This window comes from Homo sapiens, chromosome 11, assembly GCF_000001405.40.
Source record: "Homo sapiens chromosome 11, GRCh38.p14 Primary Assembly".
Taxonomy (NCBI): Eukaryota; Metazoa; Chordata; class Mammalia; order Primates; family Hominidae; genus Homo; species Homo sapiens.
Window position 1 is genome coordinate 129,394,698 of NC_000011.10, and position 23,860 is coordinate 129,418,557.

The window sequence follows — 23,860 nt, forward strand, 5'->3', positions numbered from 1 at the left end:
AGTACTTCTCTAAATTAAACATTAATAAAGCTTTTTCATCCAGAGCAACAAAAGAATTGCATTATATAGGTAAAATGGCCTCTGCCCTACTCACATTTATTTGCGGACTGGAAAAGTAATGTTTATTTCTAACATATTTTTAGCTTCAAAAGACTTTAGAAACCTTTTGAAATAATCTGCAGAGCTGTGCAAAGGCACCGAGGTTTAGGACAGGCAGGAAGCTATAGTCCACTCAGCATTTTTTTTTTTTTTTGACTGGAAAGAAAACCAAAGCCCAGAGTAATTAAATTGCTCAACCAAGATCACTCGGAGGCTTGCAATGCCTTTGAAATACAATGACTCTAAACTAGCTATATGAATCTGTACTACCATTTCTAAATTAGAAGCCACAAGTTGCTTTTTATAATAATATATATTTTGTTGCTTCTGTGCATCTTAATTTATTTTATATAATTTAAAAAACAAAGTCACTAATCAAATCCATAATGACAGTTTGGGATTTGATTTTTAAAATGCTTTTCTCTACCCTGTTGACTGTGCCGAGCCTAGAGAGTCTATTTAGTTCCCGTAGGCTGGTTTCTGGGATTGACAATATTTCCATTGTCATACAACTCTGCTGTCGCCAGTGATGTTCGAGGACCAGCACTACCCTTGAAGGATCCTGCTGTTGTGTCAACAAATAATGGCACAGGCCTCTCTGACAGCTTGTCCACAAACTCTCCTGAGGGTTTCTGTCTGAAGGAAGCAGCAGCTTTGCAAGAGTGATTTTAGTGAGGTCGTTTGGATTAGATTGAGTTAGTGGGCCGTGAGTTCCGTGCATTTAGGGTTGTGTGTGAGGCTTTTCGTGTTCTTGAAATCTCCTCCGGCCCTCCCGGTCACACCCCTCCAGTGCCACGTTCAGCCCTCTCTCTCTGCACCCATCCTGAAATAGCCATGGTTCAGCATGGAAGAAATCCACTCCTCTCATCTCTCAGTGCTGGTCAGCTCTGCATTTGCCTGGGGGTGGGTTTTGACTGTCTTCTCCTTAAAGAGAATCTCTGCACGTGTAAAATCTGTTTCAGGAAAGTAATAGGAAGGCAGCAGGACTTGGAGCCTGATGGTGTGGATTCAGCTTCCAGTTCTGCCGCTCACTGGGTGACCTGGGCAGGCTGCTCATGGTGAAATGGGTATAGCGACACCCGTGCTCAGGGTTTGCTATAGAGATTGAGCGCAGTCTCCTGAATCTCGTGTGGACAAAAGATTTCACCTCTGAAAAATATAGAATCTTAGATGTTTCTGTCTGTTTCTACAGCAGAAAGCCAGGAAACACAATCTGCAAGAAGCTAGGGGTGTAATAATAACCACCAGATCCATCCGTCAGCTGCCCTCTCTCTGTGTGCTCCGGTAGCACCGGCTTATTTAATGCATGACATCGACTGTCTCTCCCATGGGGCTCTGAGCTTCCTTCCAGCAAAGACTGTTCCTTCATCTTGGGGCCCCTCACACCAGCATACATTTTTGCACTTAGTAGATGGTCAAAATAGTATGGTTTTGAACCTTACTAAACTGCTCGTGTTTCTTTACAGCACTTTTCTTCTCTTACTTGATGTAGGTAATATGTTTTCTCTTACTTGACGTCTCCCTGCCCTGGGATTTAGGGATCGCCTTGGCCCCACACCTGTGGCTTTCTGATATTGCCACTCCTCCCCACTCACCTTTTTTTTTTTTTGTCTAAGTATTTATAATATGCAGTTTGTCACACCTAGCTAGTAGACTATATTTTCTGCAGTGATCTCTTCCAGCTTGGGAATTCTTAAATTAAAGGATTTATTTGTAGGTAGTAAACAGTCTACTTTTTAAGAAAACTCTCTAAGTTCATATTGTCTGTACTTCATCATGAGGGATAATGGTTCATTTCAAGTTAATCTACACGACTCAAGTGTAACCCATGTGGTGGGTGGGGGGACGGGGTGAGGTGGCAGCTGTTCAACAGTGCATAGCAACTCTTCACAACAGTTTAAACATGAAAAAGGAATTGGAGTAATAGAATATGCTGGAATTTGATGAGGACACTGAGAGCTACAGGACGTGGGATTTGAACTTGCAGCTGTAGACAATGACTGTGTCTCCTAGAACCCCTGAACTCTTTTGCCCCAAGATGCCCCAGAAGAAAGACTGGTGGAGTTACCAGCTCATGGATTTTACATCCTATCTATTCTCACACACAAATGAACTCCCATAAAGTAGAGGCTGAGTAGTTCTTGTCACCTTAGTGTCCCATAAAGCTGATGATAAGAATAACTAGAAAACCTTTAAAAACTTACAAGGCTGGGCACGGTGGCTCACATCTGTAATCCCAACACTTTGGGAGGCTGAAGCAGGAGGATTGCTTGAGCCTGGGAATTCAAGACCACCCTGGGCAACATAGTGAGACATCATCTCTACAAAAAATCAAAAGTTAGCCGGGCGTGGTGGTATGTGCCTGTAGTCCCAGCTCCTTGGGAGGCTAAATGGGGAGGATCTCTTGAACCTGGAAGTTCCAGACTGCAGTGAGCTGTGGTCATGCCATTGCACTCAGCTTGGGTGGACAGAGACCCTGTCTCCAAAAAAAAAAAAAAAATTCAGAGATGAAAAGTGCTAAGAAACTGAAGTAATTAACAGTGCTGACCCATTTGAAATAAAATTATTCATGAGCTCACTTGCCTCTTTTTGTGCACAGGAGATTGTATAGGTGGCTATGATTATTTTTATAAAAAATTGGATTCTAAACAAGTTTATCAAATACTTAGTATCCACCTTAAAAGCTTTCACGAATTAAATTTAACCCTTAAATGATGCAGTGATCCGCACTGAACTTTCTGATTAAAACAAAGGAAAGCTAACAACACTTATCGTTTCAACTAGAGTTCGTTAAAAAAATATTGTGGACCATTTACGCACCAGGCGCTATGTGAAGACTGCACAGATGATGGTGATGTGAGCGTCAGAGCCCCTGCCCTCGTTCTTGTGGGAGGCACAGATGAGTAAATACGCAGTTACCAGAATCATACGACCAATTCCATGATGGGGGAAGGTGGGTGTGCTGAGGGACACCTAACTGAGACTGAGACTTGGCCGAGCAGTTGGTGAGGGCCCAGGGAGGGCAGCCTCTAAGTTGAGACCTACAAGATGAAAAGGAAGGCCGAGAGGAATGATCTAGCAGAGGCAGAACATTTCTGAAATGAGTTCTTTTTCTGAACACTATGTTGAATACAGCTGAACATTTTCTGATGGTTGAGGATCTCATGACCTTCAGGGTAATTGTTTTTATCACCAATCTTTAGCTATCTAGTGCTGTGGATGTCACTGTATAAGATGTAGTAGGCTATTACTGATAACACGATCTCAACTGCATCTTTAGAAGTTGCATTTTTAAAATGAACCTGTGTAAACTCAACCTAATACTTGTATAATGGAAGCATGATGCAGACTGTGATGGTGACTTGGGTGTTTCTGTAGTTACGTGGTTTTGGACTTACTGTTGCTCCATACGTTTATAGCTGTTTTGTTTTCTTCTCTTCATCATTGCTGCCTTGGAGGGTCAGAGTATGATCCATGTGTCTTGATGAAATTAGGTAGGGCTTTGTGTTTTACCAGGAAAAGAGGCTCACTCGATTAGGCTGGGTTTACTTCTAGTTTTGTAATGCGCCCCTGGAGTAGCATGGATGAGTTGTTTCACTTCTTTTGAACTCTGTTTCTCTTTTTGGACAGAGATATCATGCTAATTGCTGAAGTGCCTGAAGATTCTTAAATATCAAATAAGACACTTAGGAAAACACCAGATATGATTATGTGTAAAATTTGCCTATTCCAAGCACATGCTCAATAAATATTTGCTGAAGTAATTCTAATTGAGAGTTTAAACATTCACAGTTCATGGCAAAGCATTGGAATAGTTGCAACAGGTGAACTAAAAAATAAATCTTGTTGCTGTTCCCATTGGAAATTTAGAACCCTGTGTTTGAGTATTTTCGATTCTGGTTCATCCATCATTTGGTTAGCTAGGTTTATCAAAATTCTGCATGGGAGGTCAGGAAATGTGTTAGCTCACTTTGTGTAGAACACAGTTCAGCATTGTTAGTAAAAGCTAAGTTTGATTTAGTTCCAGTAGTTGGCTTAATAGAACCTTAGGAGAACCAACTAGCTAAGCAGGGCAGTGAGAGAAGGGATCTACGTGGCTGTGTTTGCTTGACCTCAAAAGCCTGGGGATAACTGTGTTTTGTTCCTTTATAATACAGTTGCTCAGAGAAAGTCATGCTGTACTCTTTACCTCCATGAGCACCATTCTGGAATTGCAGTTCAACGTAGGGATATTTTCAGCAAGGGAAAAAGCATAAACACTTTTCTCAATGTTCAAGGAACATCATGACAGACTACCTATATGATGGTCCCCTGGGTCAGCTCAGATTGGCCCAATGGATTAGCCTGTCAGTGGAATATTGAATTCATAATATTTAGAACTTCAGTATTGTAGGCTCTCTGGGAGTGCAGTTAATTAGGCAGCTTCTTAATTGGATTGCTGTTCTTATGGGAAGACCTTCATATTGACCAGAGAGGCAAAGTGGGATGACAAGTCGTCTGGAATGTCAACAGAGCAAGTTTGACTTTAGGTTGGCTGCTGCTTTCTGCTTCTCTTGAATCTAGAGACCTTCTCTCTCTCTCTACCTCTCTGTCTCTCTCTCTCTCTTTTTAAACAAGATGAGGTCTCAGTATGTTATCCGGGCTGGTCTTGAACTCTGTGGCCCAAGCAATCCTCCTGTCTCAGCCTCTCCAGCAGCTAGGATTGACACAGGACAGGTGAGCCCCAGAATTGGGGCTTAGTCTGGGCAGGTTCTTGGCTTTGCCCAGAAAAGAATTCAAGGGTGAGCTGGTGGTGTTAGATAGCAGCTTTTATTGAAGTGGCAGTGTACAGCAGCAGCAGAGGGACGGCTCCCTGCAGAGCAAGGCTACCCCATAAGCAGTGTGCCCAGAATAGCAGCTCAGGGGCAGTTCTACAGTCACTTATACCCCCTTTTAATTATATGTAAATTAAGGGTGATTTATGCAGACATTTCTAGGAAAAGGGTAGTAACTTACAAGTCATTGGGTCATTGCCATGGAAAGGGGTGGTACCTTCTGGGTGCTGCCTGGCAATGGTAAACTGACCTGGCACACTAGTGGTCATGTCTTATGGGAAGCTGCCTCCCACCCCAGACCTGTTTTAGCTAGTCCTCAACTTGGTCTGATGTCCAACTTCCACCTGTGGTGTCTGAGCCCTGCCTCTGGCCTCGAGTCCAACCTCCTACCTCAGGATTCCAGGTGTGCATCACCATGCCCAGCTGAGACTTGGTCGTTGATTAGAACCGTAGACCTTTAGAGCCAAAGGGTACTTATGACTGCTTATCTAGTGAGCACCTTCATTTGGGAGAGGAGAAGTAGAAGTTTAACTCAGCTCTGAAAACATTCGTTGAGTGCTTACTTTTTGCCAGGTTGAGAGGTTGAGGGAGCAGCTATAATGATGCATTATCCTCTCAAAGAGTTCCTGAGTAGTAAAGGGGTACAAACATATTAGAAGTCAATTTAAATACCCTGGGCGGTGCTGTGAAAAAGGTAATAAGCATGGCGGCACCATGGGACCATGAAGGAAGTGGGACTTAGCCCAGTCTGTAGGGGAGGCTGGGGAAGATCTTCTGGATGAGAAAACCTAAGCTGAATCTTAAAGGATAAATGAGAGTTAACCAGGAGAACGAGACTTCTGGAGTGAGGCTTTGGACATTCTGAGAAGAGGGGAAAATGTGACCAAAGATAAAGTGGCTGGAAACAGATAGTATGTGTCTGGGAACTAAGGGTAGGCCAATATTAATAGAATGTAAAGTATACATTCTATACTCAAGAAGGCTTGTGCCGTGGAGATTTTATTCTGTAGGCTCTGGGGAATCACTGAATGGGTTTAAGCAAGAGAATAACATAATTGGATTTGGGTTTGGGGAGAATCATTGTGGAGGATGACGTTGACAGGGATAAGATTGAAGGCAGGAGAGCCTGTTGGGAGGCTTCTGCCATCATCCAGGCAAGAGATGACCCAGGGCGGTGGCAGGCGTGGGTCAAGGATGGAGCAGAGGGACTCCCAGCATATAATGGGCAGGAGAAAATTAGGTGTCTAAGCAAAAGCCTACCCAGAGAGATAAAGAAAGATTAGAAAAGAGAGTCAAGAAGAGAATTTCCAGAGGAACAAGTGATCAGCTGTGTTAAAGGCAGCTGAAGGATCCAATGAGATAAAGACTGAAAAGTGGTCAGAGCCGTGCTCCTTAAAATGTGATTCATGGGCCAGCAGTACCAGTGATATCTGGGAACTTGTTAGGAGTGCAAGATCCTGCTCTTCACTAAGAAACATATTCTGGATATAAAAATGGTTGTTGATGACCCTGACATTATCATCTTCATTGGCATGGTTGAGATAGAATCAACATTGCAGTAAATTTAGGAGTTAATGGGAAATGAGACGGTGGAAATAATATAGTCTTGCAAGAAACTTGGCTAAGGTAGGAAAGAGAGAAATTGTTAGAGATGGATATAAGTTAAGACATAGTTTTAGTATGGCAGAGACTTGACCACCTGTTTTTTAGCTTAAAGCAAAGTATAGACAGTTTGAGGTTTATGAGGAAGTTGGATAATGGGTGATAGTGAGTCCTGGAGGAAACCAGAGGGGTTGGAAAATAGGTAAAGTGGCTTTATTTCTTTAAATTATTTTTTAAAAATTTTAGACTTCAATAATTTAATCATGCAATTTTGTGGTTAGAAAGAGGTTGTAGTGACTATAAATTGACATAGGATATGTAGACACAAGATCAGAAAGAGCAACTAACTCCAGCCTGCAGTTTACACACAGTGGCTTCTGCAAGGTTGATCCATTTGGCCAAAGTTGTCCATAGCACCTTGTAGGTAGAGACTTGTGATAAGTGGATCAAGCATTCAAAGAAGCCGGGCACGGTGGCTCACACCTGTAATTCCAGCACTTTGGGAGGCTGAGGCGGGCAGATCACTTGAGGTCAGGAGTTGGAGACCAGCCTGGCCAACATGGTGAAACCCCGTCTCTGCGAAAAATACAAAAATTAGCCAGGTGTGGTGGCAGACACCTATAATTCCAGCTACTTCAGAGGCTGAGGTGAGAGAATCGCTTGAACCCAGAAGGCAGAGGTTGTAGTGAGCCAAGATTGCACCATTGCACTACGGCCTGGGCAACAGAGCAAGACTCTGTCTCAAAAAAAAAAAAAAGCATTCAAAGAAATGAAGGCCAACTTCCAGAACATGTGGTTGACAGTGGTTTTTTTTTTTTTCAGATAAAATAAATATGCAAAAGACATAAATATCCTTACATAGAAGTGTATGAACAAATATAAATCATCGTAGTGTATGGGATGAGGTGAAATGACTGCCATTTTAGAGGTGTGAAGCTTGGCTTTCCATCCAACTATGTGTCTCAGGGTTTCCTTAAGAGGCATCGCTGTATACCAGCAGAAGCCTGCAGCTTTGGGGGCACAGACCTGGCTTGAATTCTCAGTCCCTTACTTCTTAGCATGTTAGCTTGGGCACATTGCTTAGACACACTGAGCATTTGTTTCCCCATTCCAAAAAAAAAAGGCATACTCACTACACAGGATTGTTATGATGACTAAAAGACAAAGTGTGCATGTAAACTGTCAGGGATATCATACTATTATAGGCCTGATAAGCATCCAACAGCTGTTTGAATGCATAAATGAGTGAGTGAATGTAAAAATCAGTGCATGACTAGGCAGGCCGTTTAATATTCAAATGTCACTGTTTCCCCATCTGTAAAAAAAAGGGCTAATAATGGTGCCCTTTCATTTATAGTATTTTATACAGAGAAAAATGAGCTATTCATGAAAATGCTGTTAATGAAATTTAATGTTTCAGAAATTAAAGCAATCAATCCACTATTTTGTAAATACTGGGGAGACTTCAGTGGTCAGAGGATTAACTGGTTGGTTAACTCTCTTTGTCTCAGGTTCCCAGCAGATCCTCTAAAGGAGAAATCAGTGAATTAATCACTCAGTCAACAACTGCTACTTGAATGCCTAAGCTATGGAAGATGCCATTGTAGACACAGAGGGAGATCCAAACCAAACAACAACAAAAACCCTGGGAGTCCTTGTCCTCAAGGAGCTTAAAGTCTATCATAACATAAGACATTCCAGGAAGGAAGTGATTCAGGCCAAGTGAGGAGCCAAACAGCACACAGTGAAGAAGGTATTCAGATGAGGAGAATGGTATTTGCAAATCAACTCTATATGCAAATGCATATTTGGAGAAGTAGGCATGTAGTAAGACCAGGTGGAATACTAATGGTGTCCTTGAAAGAAGGCTCAGCTGTCCTCGTGTTGCAATGGCCTCACCTGCGGCTCTGCTGCTTTACAGAGCTCCCAGCTCAAGTGGGTTTTTCCAGCCCCTTTGGGTTCCCCAGTCAGGTGGCCACTGTCAGTCATTTACTTTGAAATTGTTTCTTCTACTGCACTCCTAATTGCTTATAAAATAGGTGGTGGAAGAAATTGAAGTGGATATATTAGGGCAGTGTTGCAAACTTAATTTTTATCATGGGGATGAGATGGCCTTGCACTGGCTCATATTTAAAGGCTTGTGTGAAATCTAGATGTCTCTGCATGTTATTCCTAGTTCCTCCAGGAGGCTGCTACTGGTTTCTCAGCCTTCAGGAGAGGCAGCCTTTACTCTTGCACCACCATTTTCCAACATACCGTAGGCCACAGTCCCCACTCGGCACTCTGGGAGTGTTTCCCCAGCTAGAGGTGGTGGTGCCCCGCTTCCCCTTATGACTGTCCATTTTACGTTTGCCATACAACTGGCTGGCATTTCCTACTATAGATTTTATGTGGAATTTCCAGTGCCTGGATGGGAAAACAGTAACTTAGCCCTCATCCTGCTTCTTGCTGAAATAGTCTTTGGTTGCTTTCATTACAATTGGAGTTTGGATCACATGGCAAATTGTATTTTTTAAATATTTTTTAGAGACAGGATCTCATTCTGTTGCCCAGGCTGGAGTACAGTGGTGTGATCATAGCTTACTGCAGTCTTGAACTCCTGGGCTCAAGTGACCCTCCTGCCTTAGCCTCCTGAGTAGATAGATGGGACTACAGATGTGTGCTGCCATGCCCAGCTAATTTTTAAGATTTATCTCAGAGACAGGGTCTTGCTATGTTGCCCAGGCTAACTAGTACTTTTCTGAAAGGCACAGAAAGGTCAGCAGGTATAAGGACACCACCAGAACAAGGGTTTGGAGTCCTGCACTGGAAATCCACTCTAATGAATGATTCTATCAAAGATTTCATGAAAAATAATCCAGTATCTATGTTGTCCTGAAATTTTCAACAAGGACCACTGTGGAGACCCATACCTACACACATTGCTGCACTCATTGCTACACCCATACCTACACACATTGCTACACAGCCATTTTGGTCACGGTTCTGAATGACGTTGCCACGTCCTGAAGAAAACCCCAGTCAGCTTGGAGAGGGCAGCGAGGGAGGCTGCAGGCTGACGGGGTGAACAGTGCACCATCCACAGATTACAAGGGCATGCCTGTCTCATGCGCCAACCAAAATGATGGTGGGACTCAGTATCACTCCATGTGACACTTATCACCTTGCTTTGGGTGATTAGAACCAATTAAGAGGGTGACACATAGCAGAGATGGAGAAAGAAAACACAAGGGCATCAGTTTTTCCCCTTTTGCCCAAGAGAGAAAGCAAGTGTCTGCCATCTGCCCACTTCCTAAGTCCACTTTCAAATTGCTGGATAACCTTTAGTTTGTCAGTTGACCTTTCCGGGCTTTTCCCTGCCTCCCACTTGGTTGATAAAACAACAGTGATGTTACCTGTTCTGCGAGAGTAATGTTGGCTAATAAGCCTGGTGGGAAATTCTTTTCTCTTCTGAGGGCCTTGCTGTTATTTCATGTTTCATTCCCAGGAAGACACAAAGCCTGTCCATTTGGTGTGAGCAGTGAATGGAGGATTCCGACAGGTGCCCTTGCAAGCTTCCTGGTGGAGGAGCCATTCCGAGGGCATCAGTCTTGTTTTGATCTTTTCTCAGATGGAAGACTTGAATGGAGCACTCTCTCAGCCTGTTTAGGGGGCTCTTTGATCTTGCTGTGCCTAATAGGCAGAACTCTCCTCTCTTTTTCCTCTGAGGACAAAAATAAACATAGATGCTGAGTTTGTGAACAGCTGCATAAACAATGCAATTTGGAAGTATGCAAAAATATGTGGGTTATATATACATCCATACGTATAGCCTCTTGATCTGACTTTTGCATCCTTGTGACCACCGCTTGATCTGAGAGACATTTCCATCTGATGCAATGATATCCAGTCCCTTTTAATGCTCCAAGGGATTTAAGGCCTCAGAGCATTTGGACAGAAGCATTTCTTTCCTCTGGATGTGGCTCAATTCTGGGATATCCCGACTACAGCACAATAAAATAACTCTCCTTAATGTGCCAAGAGTAGGCTACTCACACTCTTGAGGGTAGTTGACTTGGGTTAATTTTCTAGAAGGGGTGATGATAGAGTTTGCAAGTCTGAAACCAAACTCATCACCTTTCTGCTACCGCTGCCTCCTAGGGAACCCTTTCTTTTGACATCCATCCCTATTTATTTAATGGGATCCCCATTTGTCCCCTCACATAGGCATGGGGCTCCAAGTACCCTTTATTTATCTCCTTCACTCCTTACCTCTGATTAGTCTTTATAAACTATAGTTCTTTTTTGTTTATTTCTTCATTGATACTTTTAGTTCAGGCCATTATTACCAGCACTAGTATTGTGGCAGTTCCATAACTGACAATATAACTTTACACTTTAAGATGATAGATAAAATGTGATTGTTTGGGGAATACAGATGACAGAACAGAGAGTACTGACATATCCTTTAGGCTCTCGGGAGAACATAGAAGAAATGATGACTTTCAATAGGCAAAAATGGTTTAAAGTTTAGAAATTCTATTTTGCATTCTGACCCTAGTCTCCACGTCATGCATGGTTTTGTATTTGTGCCTCTGTTGCGATGTCCCCTCTGCCTAGAATGCTTGCAATTCTTTCTTCTACCAATCAGAGTTATCTCTGTTACTCAGAGTCCAGATCATGTACCATCTCCTTCCCTGACCACTCCAGGCAGAAGTATTTGCTCTTGCTGCTGATTTCTAGAATGCTTATATTCTTTAGTCCACATTTAAGTGATTGTCTTGCTTTATAGGTACCTATGTATGTTACTTATCTATCTCATTACTAGATTATGAATTCCTGGACAAAGAGGTTTTTTTCTTAAACATATTTGTTACCTACTGAGCATAGCACAGTGCCTCGCCTATGGTAACTCTAAATCAATATTTAAAAAATAATAAATGGATGGTACTAAATCATGATAAACACACATTCATCTGAAATTCCTTGTGCCCATTGTTTTAAACAAACATTTAAGGAGCTCTTCATTCATAAAAGTCACACAAATCTCATTTAATTCTTACAGTAATCCTACAGCAAGTTTCTTTTGTCTTTATTACTTTTGTCTTCATTTTCACAGTTTAGAAAAATGGCTCAAAGAGATTAATTCCTTCAGGGCTACCCAACTTGGTAGTAGCAGAGTCTAAACACAAATTCAGGTCTACCCGACACCAGAGTGCACACTCATATTCCCGGGCTGTATTGTTCCTTGGGTGACCTATGTAGAGATACAAGGTGAATAAGGCACAGTTCCAGCTTCTAAGGAGCCTCCAGCTAGTGGGGAGACAGATGTGCAAGCAACAGTTGTATTGCAGTAACATAGCTAGTGTAGGAGAGGTGGCTGCTGTGACAGTGCTTGGGGAGGTGGAGGAGGGAGGACACTGCAGGCACCTCCCAAGGCTCTGCTCTCTGAGAAGGGACCCTGAAGGAGGTGGACCCCCCAGTCCTGGGCTAACCAGCCTCAACGGTGATTGAGTTCATAACTGCCTCTTTAGTTCAGTTGAGCCTGCATGTCATGGCAAACTAGGACATCGACCCTCAGTTTTTGGATTCACATGAAATAATTGATGATGATGATGTTGATGATGACAGAATGGGAGCAAAGGGACCACTGGAGTAATTAAAGAACTGGTTTTATAGGAATATTTTAAAAATCAGGTTAAAAAAATGCAACTGTGACTTTCTTCTGTTTTCAAGTATCCAACCCATGGAGTTGGAAGCACTTAGTGGGCAGCTAATTAATAAAGCTGACAGTGGTCTACTTTATATCCTACTACGGGAAGGATATTCTAGGATATGTTGGGCACACACCTCTGCTCTTGCGTATATTCCAGTATAGACTCTAAGTCCTACAGCTTGCGAATGGGACCTCAGAAGTCACTTGTTTAACCTCCTGCATGCTGTAGAGCCTTCACCCACAGAGCCTCAGAGCCTCCATGGTGGTCTCAGTCTCTGCTTGAATACGGCTGGTGGAGAGGACAGCTTCCTATAACCCTACTCAGTCACATCAGACCAAACTCCTACATCTTCATGTAACACATTTGAGAAACCTCAGTTGAGCACCTGTTTTGCGTATGATGCTATTTACTAGTGATACAAGTTGAAGAAGACACAGCTTTCCCTCATTAGGGGCTCATTTAGTTCTATTAGCAATTCCTTAGATGACGTTGTTTCCAAACCCATCCCTGCTCTCAATACCCTCTTTTGCAGAGTTACAGGTCATTTAAAACCTGACTTCAAAATTGGACATAACACTTTATGCACAGTCTATGCTTTGCACTTCTGTTGAGACTTGCGCTAGGATCAGCCCAAATCCCATGTTTTACTCATCCCCACTTCACAGACAGCTGTGAAATCAGATGTTTTTCATATTATACTTATTAGTGGATAATACAGTTCAGTAAACTTTGAGTACCTACTAAATATGCAGCACTCTACTAAATGTTGTCTCGAAAATATGATTCTGGACTAAGATGCAGTTTTTGGATTCAAGTTCAGTCCAGTAGGAAAGACATGCATAAACAGAAATTATCCATACAGTGTGGTAGGGGTGTGATAAAAATGCATGCAAGATGCTCATCAAACACGGAGGAAAGGCTCTTACCCCTCACTTGCAGTGGAGGAGGGTGTGGATGGGGTCAGAGAAGCACCCTGGAGGATTTGGCGCCTCTGTTAAAGGTTGGAGCACAGGCTGGGCGCGGTGGCTCACACCTGTAATCCCAGCACTTTGGGAGGCCAAGGCGGGCCGATCATGAGGTAAGGAGATTGAGACAGAGCCAGACTCCGTCTCAAAAAAAAAAAAAAAAAAAAAAAAAAAGTTGGAGCACAGATGAAAGCTAACCAAGTGAAGAAGGAGAAGCGGGCAAACAGAACAACCTCTGCAGGAGTATGGCATGGAAAGGCCTGGGGCATTTGGGGGACTGACAGAAGGACTAGAACAATACATTTGGTGATTAGAGAAGAAGCTAAAGAGATTGGATTCCTGAAAGCCACTGGAAGATATATTCGGTTCTGTTGATGTTAGTCCATTTTAAGCTTTAAAAATCCCGATGATGTCATGCAATACATTACTTTTTTTGTGACATGAGATTTGATAGAATACCTTTTTTGTTTCTAGACACATTTTAGTAAAAATTTAGTAAAAATATTGAAAAAGGAATAATAAAACAAGGACCACAGCCCCTCACAGGCCCTAGAAGATAGCCATTAATCAACCCGCACAGGGATGCTTAGCTCACAGTGCGTCGGTTTTGTTCCTGCATGACCTGGCCCTGCCTGTCTCTTCACTGTGCTTCATCCACATCCTCTTTGCTGTTCCTAGAACATAAGCTTTTCCGTGTTTCTGGCTCTTAACCTATGTTGTTCCACTCTCTGGAACACTCTCTGGCTGGTGCTTTTCAGCCTTTCGATTTCTTCTGAAATGTCTCCTCTTTGGAGACTATCTCGGCCTCCCCACCCTCAGCCTCCCCCATACATGCTCCATCACTGAAGCCTGTTTATTCCTTTCATGGTACAGTATTTACCCCAAGTCATGATTAAATATCTGTTTATATATTTCTTTATTGGATTATTTGTTTATTTTTCTCTCTCTAGACTGCAAGCTCCTTGAGCAGACCATGTTTATTTTGTCTACCACAGGTGCTCAATAAATATTTTTGACTATTTATTACATGAGAAGGTTTCCATGCAAACACCCATTGAATACGATTGAACTTGAACCCTAAGAGATGGGCTGTGACCTTTGTTGCCCTCAAACTAATCAAAGGGGAGTGATATTCACCATCCAGAATCTAGAATAACTTAGACCTTGTGGGCCAGGAGCTAGCTACCCATATGATAATACAAGAGCTCTCAGAGAAATCATGGAAGTTTTGAGCAATCTCTCTCTCCCTTTGCTAATTTACTTTTCAAAACTGAAGTATAATGGAATAACTTCCCCACCTCTCAAATGTCAGCATGCTCTGAAATTTCATGTTCTCTCAGGCGAGCGATTCATGTTTTCCATCCCACCCACCGTTCTCTGCCTTGTGTTTAAGGATGTGAGTGATAGTCTATCTACTAGTCTAGGATGCTACTGAAAAGTAAAGCAACCAAATACTTGCTTTTAGTGAATTCTTCAGTGTGTTTTTTTTAAGGGCTCAAGCACAATTTTTAAACGGTCTGTTCTAGGATCTCTATCATCCCCCACCACATACACATTCCCCCCACCCTCCAGGGGCTTGGTAACCAAGCTGACTAAACCATAGGCTTGTTTCTCTTTTATGAAACAGGAACATCTTTTAGATGACGTGGTGAAAAGTGAATATATTTGATGGGATAATTGCTGTCCATTCACCATTTTTAGGATTGATAACTTTGGAAGAGCTGGTAAAGGTTAAGTTCTGCCTTAGAGAAACTTTTACCAGTAGCTGTTCTTTTATTGTGCTTTTATTGTGATATCAAAAGTGCACGTGGCCTGGTTTGATTTTTTCCCCTCTTTGCAAACTTTTAGGACTTGATTTCCATCCTGTTTCCTGAAACTTTAAAATGATCTGCATTTTGGTGAGTCTTTTTTCATTCATTGTTAAGATGGCCAATTCATCTTATTCACCTGCAGTTAAGAAATATTCTGTTATAGTCTTTTATTTATAATTTCCTCCATTATTTTTTCTTGGAATTTCTACCAATTGGATATTACAAGTCCTAGGTTGATCCACTAATTTTCTTATCTTTCTCTTCCCATTTCTCTACTTTGTATTCTGACTCTGTGTCCTATCTTAGAACCTTGACTTAACTTATATGGGCCTTAATAGCCTCATCTATAAAATGGAATTATTGATGGTACCTTTTTACAAAGATCAAATGTCAATGTACATTTACAAATGAATAGAAAATGTTTATGGAACAGTACCTAGTGTTGTTAATATTACTTTCTACAGATTTGTCTTTGCTCTACTATTGTTAATATTATATTCTATATCCTTGCGTTTTAATCTATTTTTTATTTTTTCCTCAATTTGATCTTCCAGCTGTCTTCTACTTTGAAAATTCAGCTATCATATTTTTATTTTCCAAAAGTTATTTCTTGTTCTCGAATTGTTTCCTTTTTGAAATCACATACTATTTCCTGGATACAGTATTTTTTCTCATCTCTCTGAGGATGTTAATGACAGCTTTCTTTATAAGTTTTTCTTCTACCCCCTGAATTCCCTCTGATTATGCCAGTTTCCTTTTTTCCACCTGTTTGTTTGATTTCTGTCTTTCATGTTTGAGGCTTTCCTCAGATGTTTAGTGACTTGGGCCGTCTCTTTATCTGCAGGAATGAAGCTCTGAGACACTGAATGGGAGGGGTGTGTGGGGCTGTGTGTACATGAATGAATATGTGCACACCCTGTGGGCCAGCAGGCCTCCCTATAGGGTCCAGGCAGGGAGCAAGCTGTTAGTTGGGAGCCTATAAACACCAGAGCCAGTAGGTCATTTACGGTGGCCATTTGGTTTCACTGGAGAAGAATCCCCCAGTTTTCTGCCAGCAGGTGGGGTGAAGATACATGTCTGCTTCTGGGATTGAGAGGGTTGAGTCACAGCAGGGTTCACCCCACAGTTCTGCACACAGCCATCCATTAAACTCTCTGCCCTCTGCTGTGCCTGACTCTGCCTGGTCCAGACCCTCTTCAGATCCTGAACTATTGAGATCATGTTCTCCTCACAGTATACACGGTGCAGCCACAGTATAGCCAAGCCCAAATTATAACAAGATTGTTTCCAAGTACATTCTTAGACAGGCTTGAAATAGGTCTGTAATACACAGATGTCCCAGTCTCTCTGTTGGTGCTATGGTGACACTCTATGTGGAGCAGAGTGTTTAAAGAATAGCAGAGTGGGCCGGGCCCAGTGGCTCACGCCTGTAATCCCAGCACTTTGGGAGGCCGAGGCGGGTGGATCACGAGGTCAAGAGTTCGAGACCATCCTGGCTAATATGGTGAAACCCCGTCTCTACTAAAAATACAAAAAATTAGCCGGGCGTGGTGGCAGATGCCTGTAGTCCCAGCTACTCGGGAGGCTGAGGCAGGAGAATGGCGTGAATCCGGGAAGCAGAGCTTGCAGTGAGCTGAGATCGTGCCACTGCACTCCAGCCTGGGTGACAGAGTGAGACTCCATCTCCAAAAAAAAAAAAAAAAAAAAGAATTAAAAGACTAGCAGAGTGGATATTACTGAAAATAATACGGACATGAAGAAGTTATGCTCAGCAAATAGCACTTTCAGGGGAGCTTTGCTTACATGGCAATTCTGTAAGTGAATTGCGGGCTCATGGGCTGGATGATATCAGGAAGAAAATAGTAAGAATCGGGATGAAGCCCATGTAAAGGAAAGTTAGAGAAAAAGGGTTTACATACCCAAAGACAGAAGCACTGAGAGACTTCATTATAGTCTGCAACTTGCCAATTAGCAAGTCAAGAAGAATTTGTTGACTTTTGATGTGTGCTGGGAGCTGAGCTACTTCTCAGCTCTGGCCACACGGCAGAATCACCAGGCCCGGCCACAGGCCAATTAAATTAGAATCTCTGCGGGTGGGGCCTCAGCATTAATATTTTTTAAAGGCTCACAAGGTCTTTTGAATTGCAGCTGGGATCGAGACTCATAGGAATGGCGCCTCTCTGGAAGAGCATCAGATAGAAAATAGGACTCCTGTCCTTTCGAGGAACTCGGTTGGAGCTTGAAATTTAACATGCAAAATTTAAGCAACATATAAAGTGTTTATAAGTGCCAAAGAAGTAGTTTATGGCCGGGCACGGTGGCTCACACCTGTAATCCCAGCACTTTGGGAGGCCGAGGCAGGCAGATCACAAGGTCAGGAGATTGACACCATCCTGGCTAACATGGTGAAACCCCGTCTCTACTAAAAACACAAAAAGTTAGCCGGGCATGGTGGCGGGCGCCTGTAGTCCCAGCTACTCGGGAGGCTGAGGCAGGAGAACGGCGTGAACCTGGGAGGCGGAGCTTGCAGTGAACCGAGATCGCGTCACTGCACTCCAGCCTGGGCTACAGGGCGAGAATCCATCTCAAAAAAAAAAAACAAACAAAAAAAGAAGTAGTTTATAAAATATAGGTAGATGATTTTGAATAGGGAGTTACTTTGGTACTTGGAATGTTTATGATTCAGGACAGGCAAGACCCCAAATTGGGACTAAGCCTGGGAGGGTTCTCGGCTTTGCCTAGGAAAGAATTCAAGGGCAAGGCAGTGGTATTAAACAGCAACGATTATTGAAACAGCAGTGTACAGCAGCAACAGAGGTCCTGCTCCTTGCAGAGCAGGCAGTGTGCCCAGAGCAGCAGCTCAAAGGCAGTCTGCACTCACATTGATACCCACTTTTAATTATATGCAAATTAAGGGGCAATTTATGCAGAAATTTCTAGGAAGAGGGCGGTAACTTCTGGGTCATCTGGTCATTGCTGTGGAAAGGGGTGGTAACGTCTAGCTGTTGCCATGGCAATGGAAAACACGTGGCACACACTGGTGGGTGTGTCTTATGGAAAGCTGCTTCTGTCTCGGCCCTGTTGCAGCTAGTCCTCACTTTGGTCCTGTATCCAGGTCCCACCTCTTACCTCAGTTAGGGACTATTAATTGAGTGCCAATGATGTGTCTGGCCCTAAAATAAGTTCTGAAGAGGTTCAGAGAATAATACACAGTATATGTTCTCAAGAAACTTCTATTTTAGGTAGAGGAAAACCAAAATATAAAGCTTAAAAAGAACCGGAGAGCTATTTGATGCTAAATTATGTTTGGAAACTTACGTGCAGTGGGAGTTTGAAGAGGAATTCTTAGGTATGTTTGGAAAAAGTTTCTAGCTGTAGGTAGAATTTGAGTTTTGCCTTAAAGAACTGCAAATAATTCATTTAATTTAGTAATTTAAAAAGTGAATAATGGGTACATGCTACTTCCCAGGCACCGTGCTAAGCATTTACATGAATTATCTTATTCTCGTAATATATTTTTGAGCTATGCATTATTATTATCTCTTTTCAACAGGTAGAAAAACCAAGGCTTATCAAACTTAAAGGAATTTGTCAAAAGCCACGCAAGTTACTAAGTGGTGAAGCCAAACTCAAAAGCAGAGCTGTATGGCTCTTGAGCTGGGCTTGTAACCACTATCTGTAGGACCAGAGTCGGCAGCAGAGAGAGGCCAGAGCGTGGCAAATGTATTTCTTGAATACTGAGTAAGTGGCAGGTTATGCTGAGTAGATATTTGGTTGGAAAGGTGAATTGGGGCCCAGTTCAATTTGTCAGGGGTCTTGACTACCATTTCATGGAATTTAACTTTATTTTCTGGACGCTGGAGAGTCCAGAAGGTTTTTGAGGCAGGGGATACAATGTTGGAAAGCATTTTCTAGGAAACCGTAAAGGCCGGAGATAGGGGAACCAGGTAAAAAGATATCTCAGTGGTCAAGGCATGAAGCTTAGGGGCCTGAGAGAGGCGGGTGGAACGGAAAATGGTGGGGAAAGGTGTCATCGGCACCTTGGAGAAGAATCTTCTTTATTTCTAGAGACAGCAGGGATGTGAGAATGGACAGTAGGCCGGGCGCAGTGGCTCACGCCTGTAATCCCAGCACTTTGGGAGGCCGAGGCAGGCGGATCACGAGGTCAGGAGATCGAGACAATCCTGGCTAACACGGTGAAAACCCGTCTCTACTAAATACAAAAACAAAAATTAGCCGGGCGTGGTGGCGGGCGCCTGTATTCCCAGCTACTGGGGAGGCTGAGGCAGGAGAATGGCATGAACCTGGGAGGCAGAGCTTGCAGTGAGCCGAGATCGCGCCACTGCACTCCAGCCTGGGAGGCAGACGGAGACTCCATCTCAAAAAAAAAAAAGAGAGAGCGGACAGTAATAGCTCGGGGATTATTTAGGTTTGATATCAGTTTGAACTTCCTTACATTACCGTGAGGAAGGGAGGTTTTGGAGTTCAGAATGTATTAATACATTCTTCAGAGACTTTTAAGGAAAAGGCAAATTGTGATTTTTTTCTGACACGGTTTAAGTTCTGTCTACATTAGTTCTAGGCTTGTAAGTATTGTATGACCTTTGACTCAATTCAGTTCTGGATATAATTTAGTTTAGGCCCTGTGACTAAGCTGTTTTATATGGCTTATCTAAGAGCTACCGAGATAAAGGATTTACATAAGTATAGTCTTTCATTCTAATGTTGGACTCTGGTAATACTTCTCAGTATGCCAATAAACCTTATTTCCCGTTCCCCTGCCTTCTTTTCTTTAGTATTAATGATAGCCACTAGGTTGGGTGCAGATCTCAAGGCCGTTCTCTACTGGATGAGATTCTCTCCAAGTCTCAGATGAGAAACTTCCATAAATCCTTTCCCTAGGCTTCCATAACCCTATGGTTACACCTAACCCATGTCCTCAAATCCCATATTAGCATTACATGCAAATGACAGCACTGGGGAGAAGCAGGGAGTGAATCAGAGCCTGTTGATGGCTCTGTTTTGATTACAGCCATGGGTTTGCTTAAGAAAGATATTGTGCCTTCATTGTGACTGGCATCAAAGGTATGTGAAGATACTACCTAAGCTAGGTGTGAGAAGCCCAAATACATTATTACTAATGATTTTCATAAGGGCTAAAGAGTTTAGGCCAAAAATAATTAAAGAGAACAATAGTGCTGTCAATAAAACTCCTCAATAATGAGATAGTAATTAATGGACGAATGGCCTCATTGTTCTTTTTGGCTCTAGGCATTAAGCATCTCATTTTAAAAGTTGTGGTAAGTAGTGCAATATTGCTCATTTATATTTTTATTTAGTACTGTTAATTTATTTCACTTTTTATTTAATCTTAAATCTTTTATTTTAATATAAAAATTGGAATGATCCTCTCCTTTCCCCCCATTATAAACTTTACAAGCAAGAGTGGTTTTGGTGCTTTGGAACTTTCTCAGTTCACTCCCTATGATAGGTCCTGTAATCAGGCTCTTACTACATGTTTTGATGGTGTTATTGATGATCATGATGAGTTTCAGGTGCGTTTTTGTTGCCTAATAATACAGATTCTCTGGTGTTCTCTATGACTTCATTGTATGGGGTCAGCCTGGCCAGTTCTCCTCATGGCCCTTTCTCCCTTTAAGCCCCAGAAGCCATCGGGAAAAGCCTTTCACCTTATTTTTTCAGCAAAGCCTGCAGGATGCCATGGGGGGATACTCTTACAGGACTATTCTAGGCAGCAAGTTTTCTTCATACAGTGGTTCAGAGATTTTGGATAAGCAATAAGAATGGTTCTGCTGGGCCCACTGGTCATAACTTGTCTAATTAATGCATGTCCCATTACTTTTGATATGTCTCCCTTCTCCCCAGGAAACATCAGATGCTTGCAAACCATTTTCCATATCACAGAGCACCGGGCCCTGGAATCTTTCTTGGGCCCCTTCTTAAGACTAGATTGCTCAAAGAGTTGTAGGCCAAGGAATGAATGTATCCTGTGTTGCACAAAATACATTTAGATATTTATCAAGACTTAATTTAATGAACTTTTCCTCCCTTGCTCCAACTTTACTTTGTAACCCTCCTCCTGAAGAAAAGGTGCCAACATTCCACTTTAAGTCTAAGCTGAAATCATAGATGATCCTAAGTGTTTTAGAAGTAAATTAGTGACTCAAGTCCCACCAGTTTTCCTCTGTCTTCCAAATGACACTTTTTCCTGAGGCTTCCGATTGGATCCAACGTGACTGGGGCTTTTAGCCCCCTTCTTAGGCTCCTCAGAGTCCATGCTGAGAATGACTCAGCCAATTTCAGAGATATGGATTCCTTTTGAAGACCCCTGTTTCATCTTTGACTTTTATAGGAAAGGTTGGATTGGATGGGCTGGCTGTTCTCTGTGTGGGCACTTGAAAGGTAAGGCCTTCGAACTTGGCCTTCGGGTGTGTTCAGGGCCAGGGACTTGTACACAGAGGAAGTCTGGATGTGCTTTTTAAATCTTAGCACTGTGACTTGAGTTTTGCCATTTCACCTTGCAGTGTTTGGGAATCGTGTCGTAGATTGTTGACCTAGCCTTGACACTCAGTGGTTGTTGAGGAGTGAGGAGGGTGTGGCTAGGGGGCGGAGGTGGGAATGTTGGTTGAGAAAGACTACCAAAATGTTAGTGTGTTGAGAAGTAACAGGAACAGTGCTTGGGCATGGAAAAGTTTGGCATGACAGCCTCTTCCTACAGAAACTTTCCCAGAAATTTCTCAGGAGGAAGGAGTTGGCTCAGGGTTTCCAATGGATTATCTTTGGCTATGATGCCCAAAGAATCTTGACACTAAGGATTTATAGCTTTTACTAGTTCTGAATATTAAGAAATAGTAGAGTCCATTAAAAATGCTTGGAGTTTGTTGATATGTTGGGGGCTGGTCATTTCCTCCTTGAACTCTGACCTGCTAGAAGCTCTAATGAGTCATGAATGGGCTAATGAGTTGTCACCTTTAGTTTATATTTAAATACTACCTTAGAGATGTGAAAACTTGAACCTGACTCTCATAGCTTCATTATGGACCCACAAATGTAACCGACTGGATGGATGGTTTCCACTGAGATTTTGGCCTGGTGTAATTCGGCTGCTGCTTGAGGCTATTTTTGGAGGCTTTTGGAGTATCGTAGGAGTACATCTATCCAGTGTCTTTGTTTTTTTTTTTTTTTAATTTTTATTTATTTATTTATTTATTTTTGAGACAGAGCCTCGCTGTGTCACCCAGGCTGGAGTACAGTGGCGCAATCTCAGCTCACTGCAAGCTCCGCCTCCCGGGTTCACGCCATTCTCCTGCCTCAGCCTCCCCAGTAGCTGGGACTGCAGGCTCCCGCCACCACGCCCGGCTAATTTTTTATATTTTTAGTAGAGATGGGGTTTCACTGTGTTAGCCAGGATGGTCTCGAACTCCTGACCTCGTGATCCACCCACCTTGGCCTCCCAAAGTGCTGGGACTACAGGTGTGAGCCACCGTGCCTGGCCCAGTGTCTTTATTTTTATTTTAAAAGATATTACAGCACTCCTGTCTTCTGCCAGTGCTTTGCTAAGTTGTGGGATAATAAAATGGACACAGCTAGATGGGAAGGGTCACTGCTCTGCCCTGACTCAGCTCCATTCCCCAGGACAGGGAGGCCACGTCCCAGGAATATTTCTTATCTCCTGCTCTCAGCTGTGCGGTGAAGAGGGAAGGCAGATCTTTCCTGAAAGGATCAGGTGGCAGCTGGATGGAGAGTGGTGGGCTTGGGTCACTAGAAGAGAGCTGGGGCCCAACGAAAGGAACGCGTGCCTGCAGGGCAAACTGCATTTTAAACTCTTCTCTTTCAGGGCCTAAAAGTTGCTTTTGTCAAAAATCCTCTTTTCTGTGCCAAACCTGAATAGCAGAGATGAAAGCACGCTACAGCTGTTGGAGGGGTGTAGGTCTGCTGCAGAATCAGAGTCTGTGTTGGTTGTTACACTTGGTGTGGGAACTGGGTTCTCCGATGCTGACTGCAAGAGAGGAGATGTTTGGCGAAGGATTGTGCTAGTCCAGAGTTCCTCTGTCAGATCATAACAGTAGCCTCCATTTGTATGGCCTTTGCAGTTTATAATAGTGCCTATACAATAAAATATGTCAAATATTACATTGTCATTTTCGTAAGTTTCTATTTTCTGATGCAGTTTCAAAACCTTGTTCTGGTACCCATCTTATTAAGTAGGCAGAAGAGATCCTGCAGTTTAAAAATAGATACTTTAAAATTCTGTGCTTTGAAATAATCTTGGTAAAATTCGACACTGCAGCTTATTGACCTTATTTTTCTTTCTGTAGAGAGAATGATGATTTTTGACCCTGTAATCCTGAGCTTAGAACCTAGGGAGAAGAGGAAGCATTTATTTGTTTTTGCACTTTGTTTTGTACCACATTTGGTAGGTTGTTACCAGCTGAGGAAGTAAATTGACTAATCAGGGGAAACCCAAAGCACTATTGATATCTATCTCTAGGCGTAATGGTTGCAAATTCTATAAAAAGGCCTCTCTGCTTCTCATGTGGTCAATAAGGAAATGGCTCATGGAAAATGAGAAAATACCTGAACAGCTGGCTGTAAATCTGAGTTCTCTGCCCACGGGTGTGGCTTGGCTCAGTTCTTTGGACTTGGTAATGGGGTCATTATTTCTGTATTCGATGGATTTCAGAATGTCATGTTATTTCAGCCCAAGCGGTTCCCCAGGAAACACAACTATTTGCCCTCTTCTTCCCAGCACTGAAACTAGAGTGCCTTCTTTCTCCCAGTCAGGGAGAAACCTCTCCAAATAGGGCTTCCTTTATCTTGTAGAAGTTGCTTAGCTTTTCTGTATGTGGGAA

The 23,860-nt window shown here is 42.7% G+C and overlaps 1 protein-coding gene across 2 annotated transcripts in view, besides 2 other annotated features; it reads left to right on the forward strand.

Annotated features, from left to right (window-relative positions):
* The window catches only part of BARX2 (BARX homeobox 2), a 77,047-nt gene that overhangs the window by 19,465 nt on the left and 33,722 nt on the right, over positions 1-23,860 (forward strand). The gene's annotated exons all lie outside the window — the stretch shown is intronic.
* Positions 5,234-5,430: a silencer, noted in NCBI's record as "fragment chr11:129269826-129270022 (GRCh37/hg19 assembly coordinates)". NCBI's record gives its function as "represses an EF-1alpha promoter that drives an FKBP-Casp9 reporter gene in an ReSE screen in phorbol 12-myristate 13-acetate-treated (for megakaryocytic differentiation) K562 erythroleukemia cells {active_cell/tissue: K562(+PMA)}" and the evidence as "EXISTENCE:reporter gene assay evidence [ECO:0000049][PMID:32094911]".
* Positions 23,385-23,434: an enhancer, noted in NCBI's record as "active region_5747". NCBI's record gives its function as "activates an Ori minimal core promoter by ATAC-STARR-seq in GM12878 lymphoblastoid cells {active_cell/tissue: GM12878}" and the evidence as "EXISTENCE:reporter gene assay evidence [ECO:0000049][PMID:35858748]".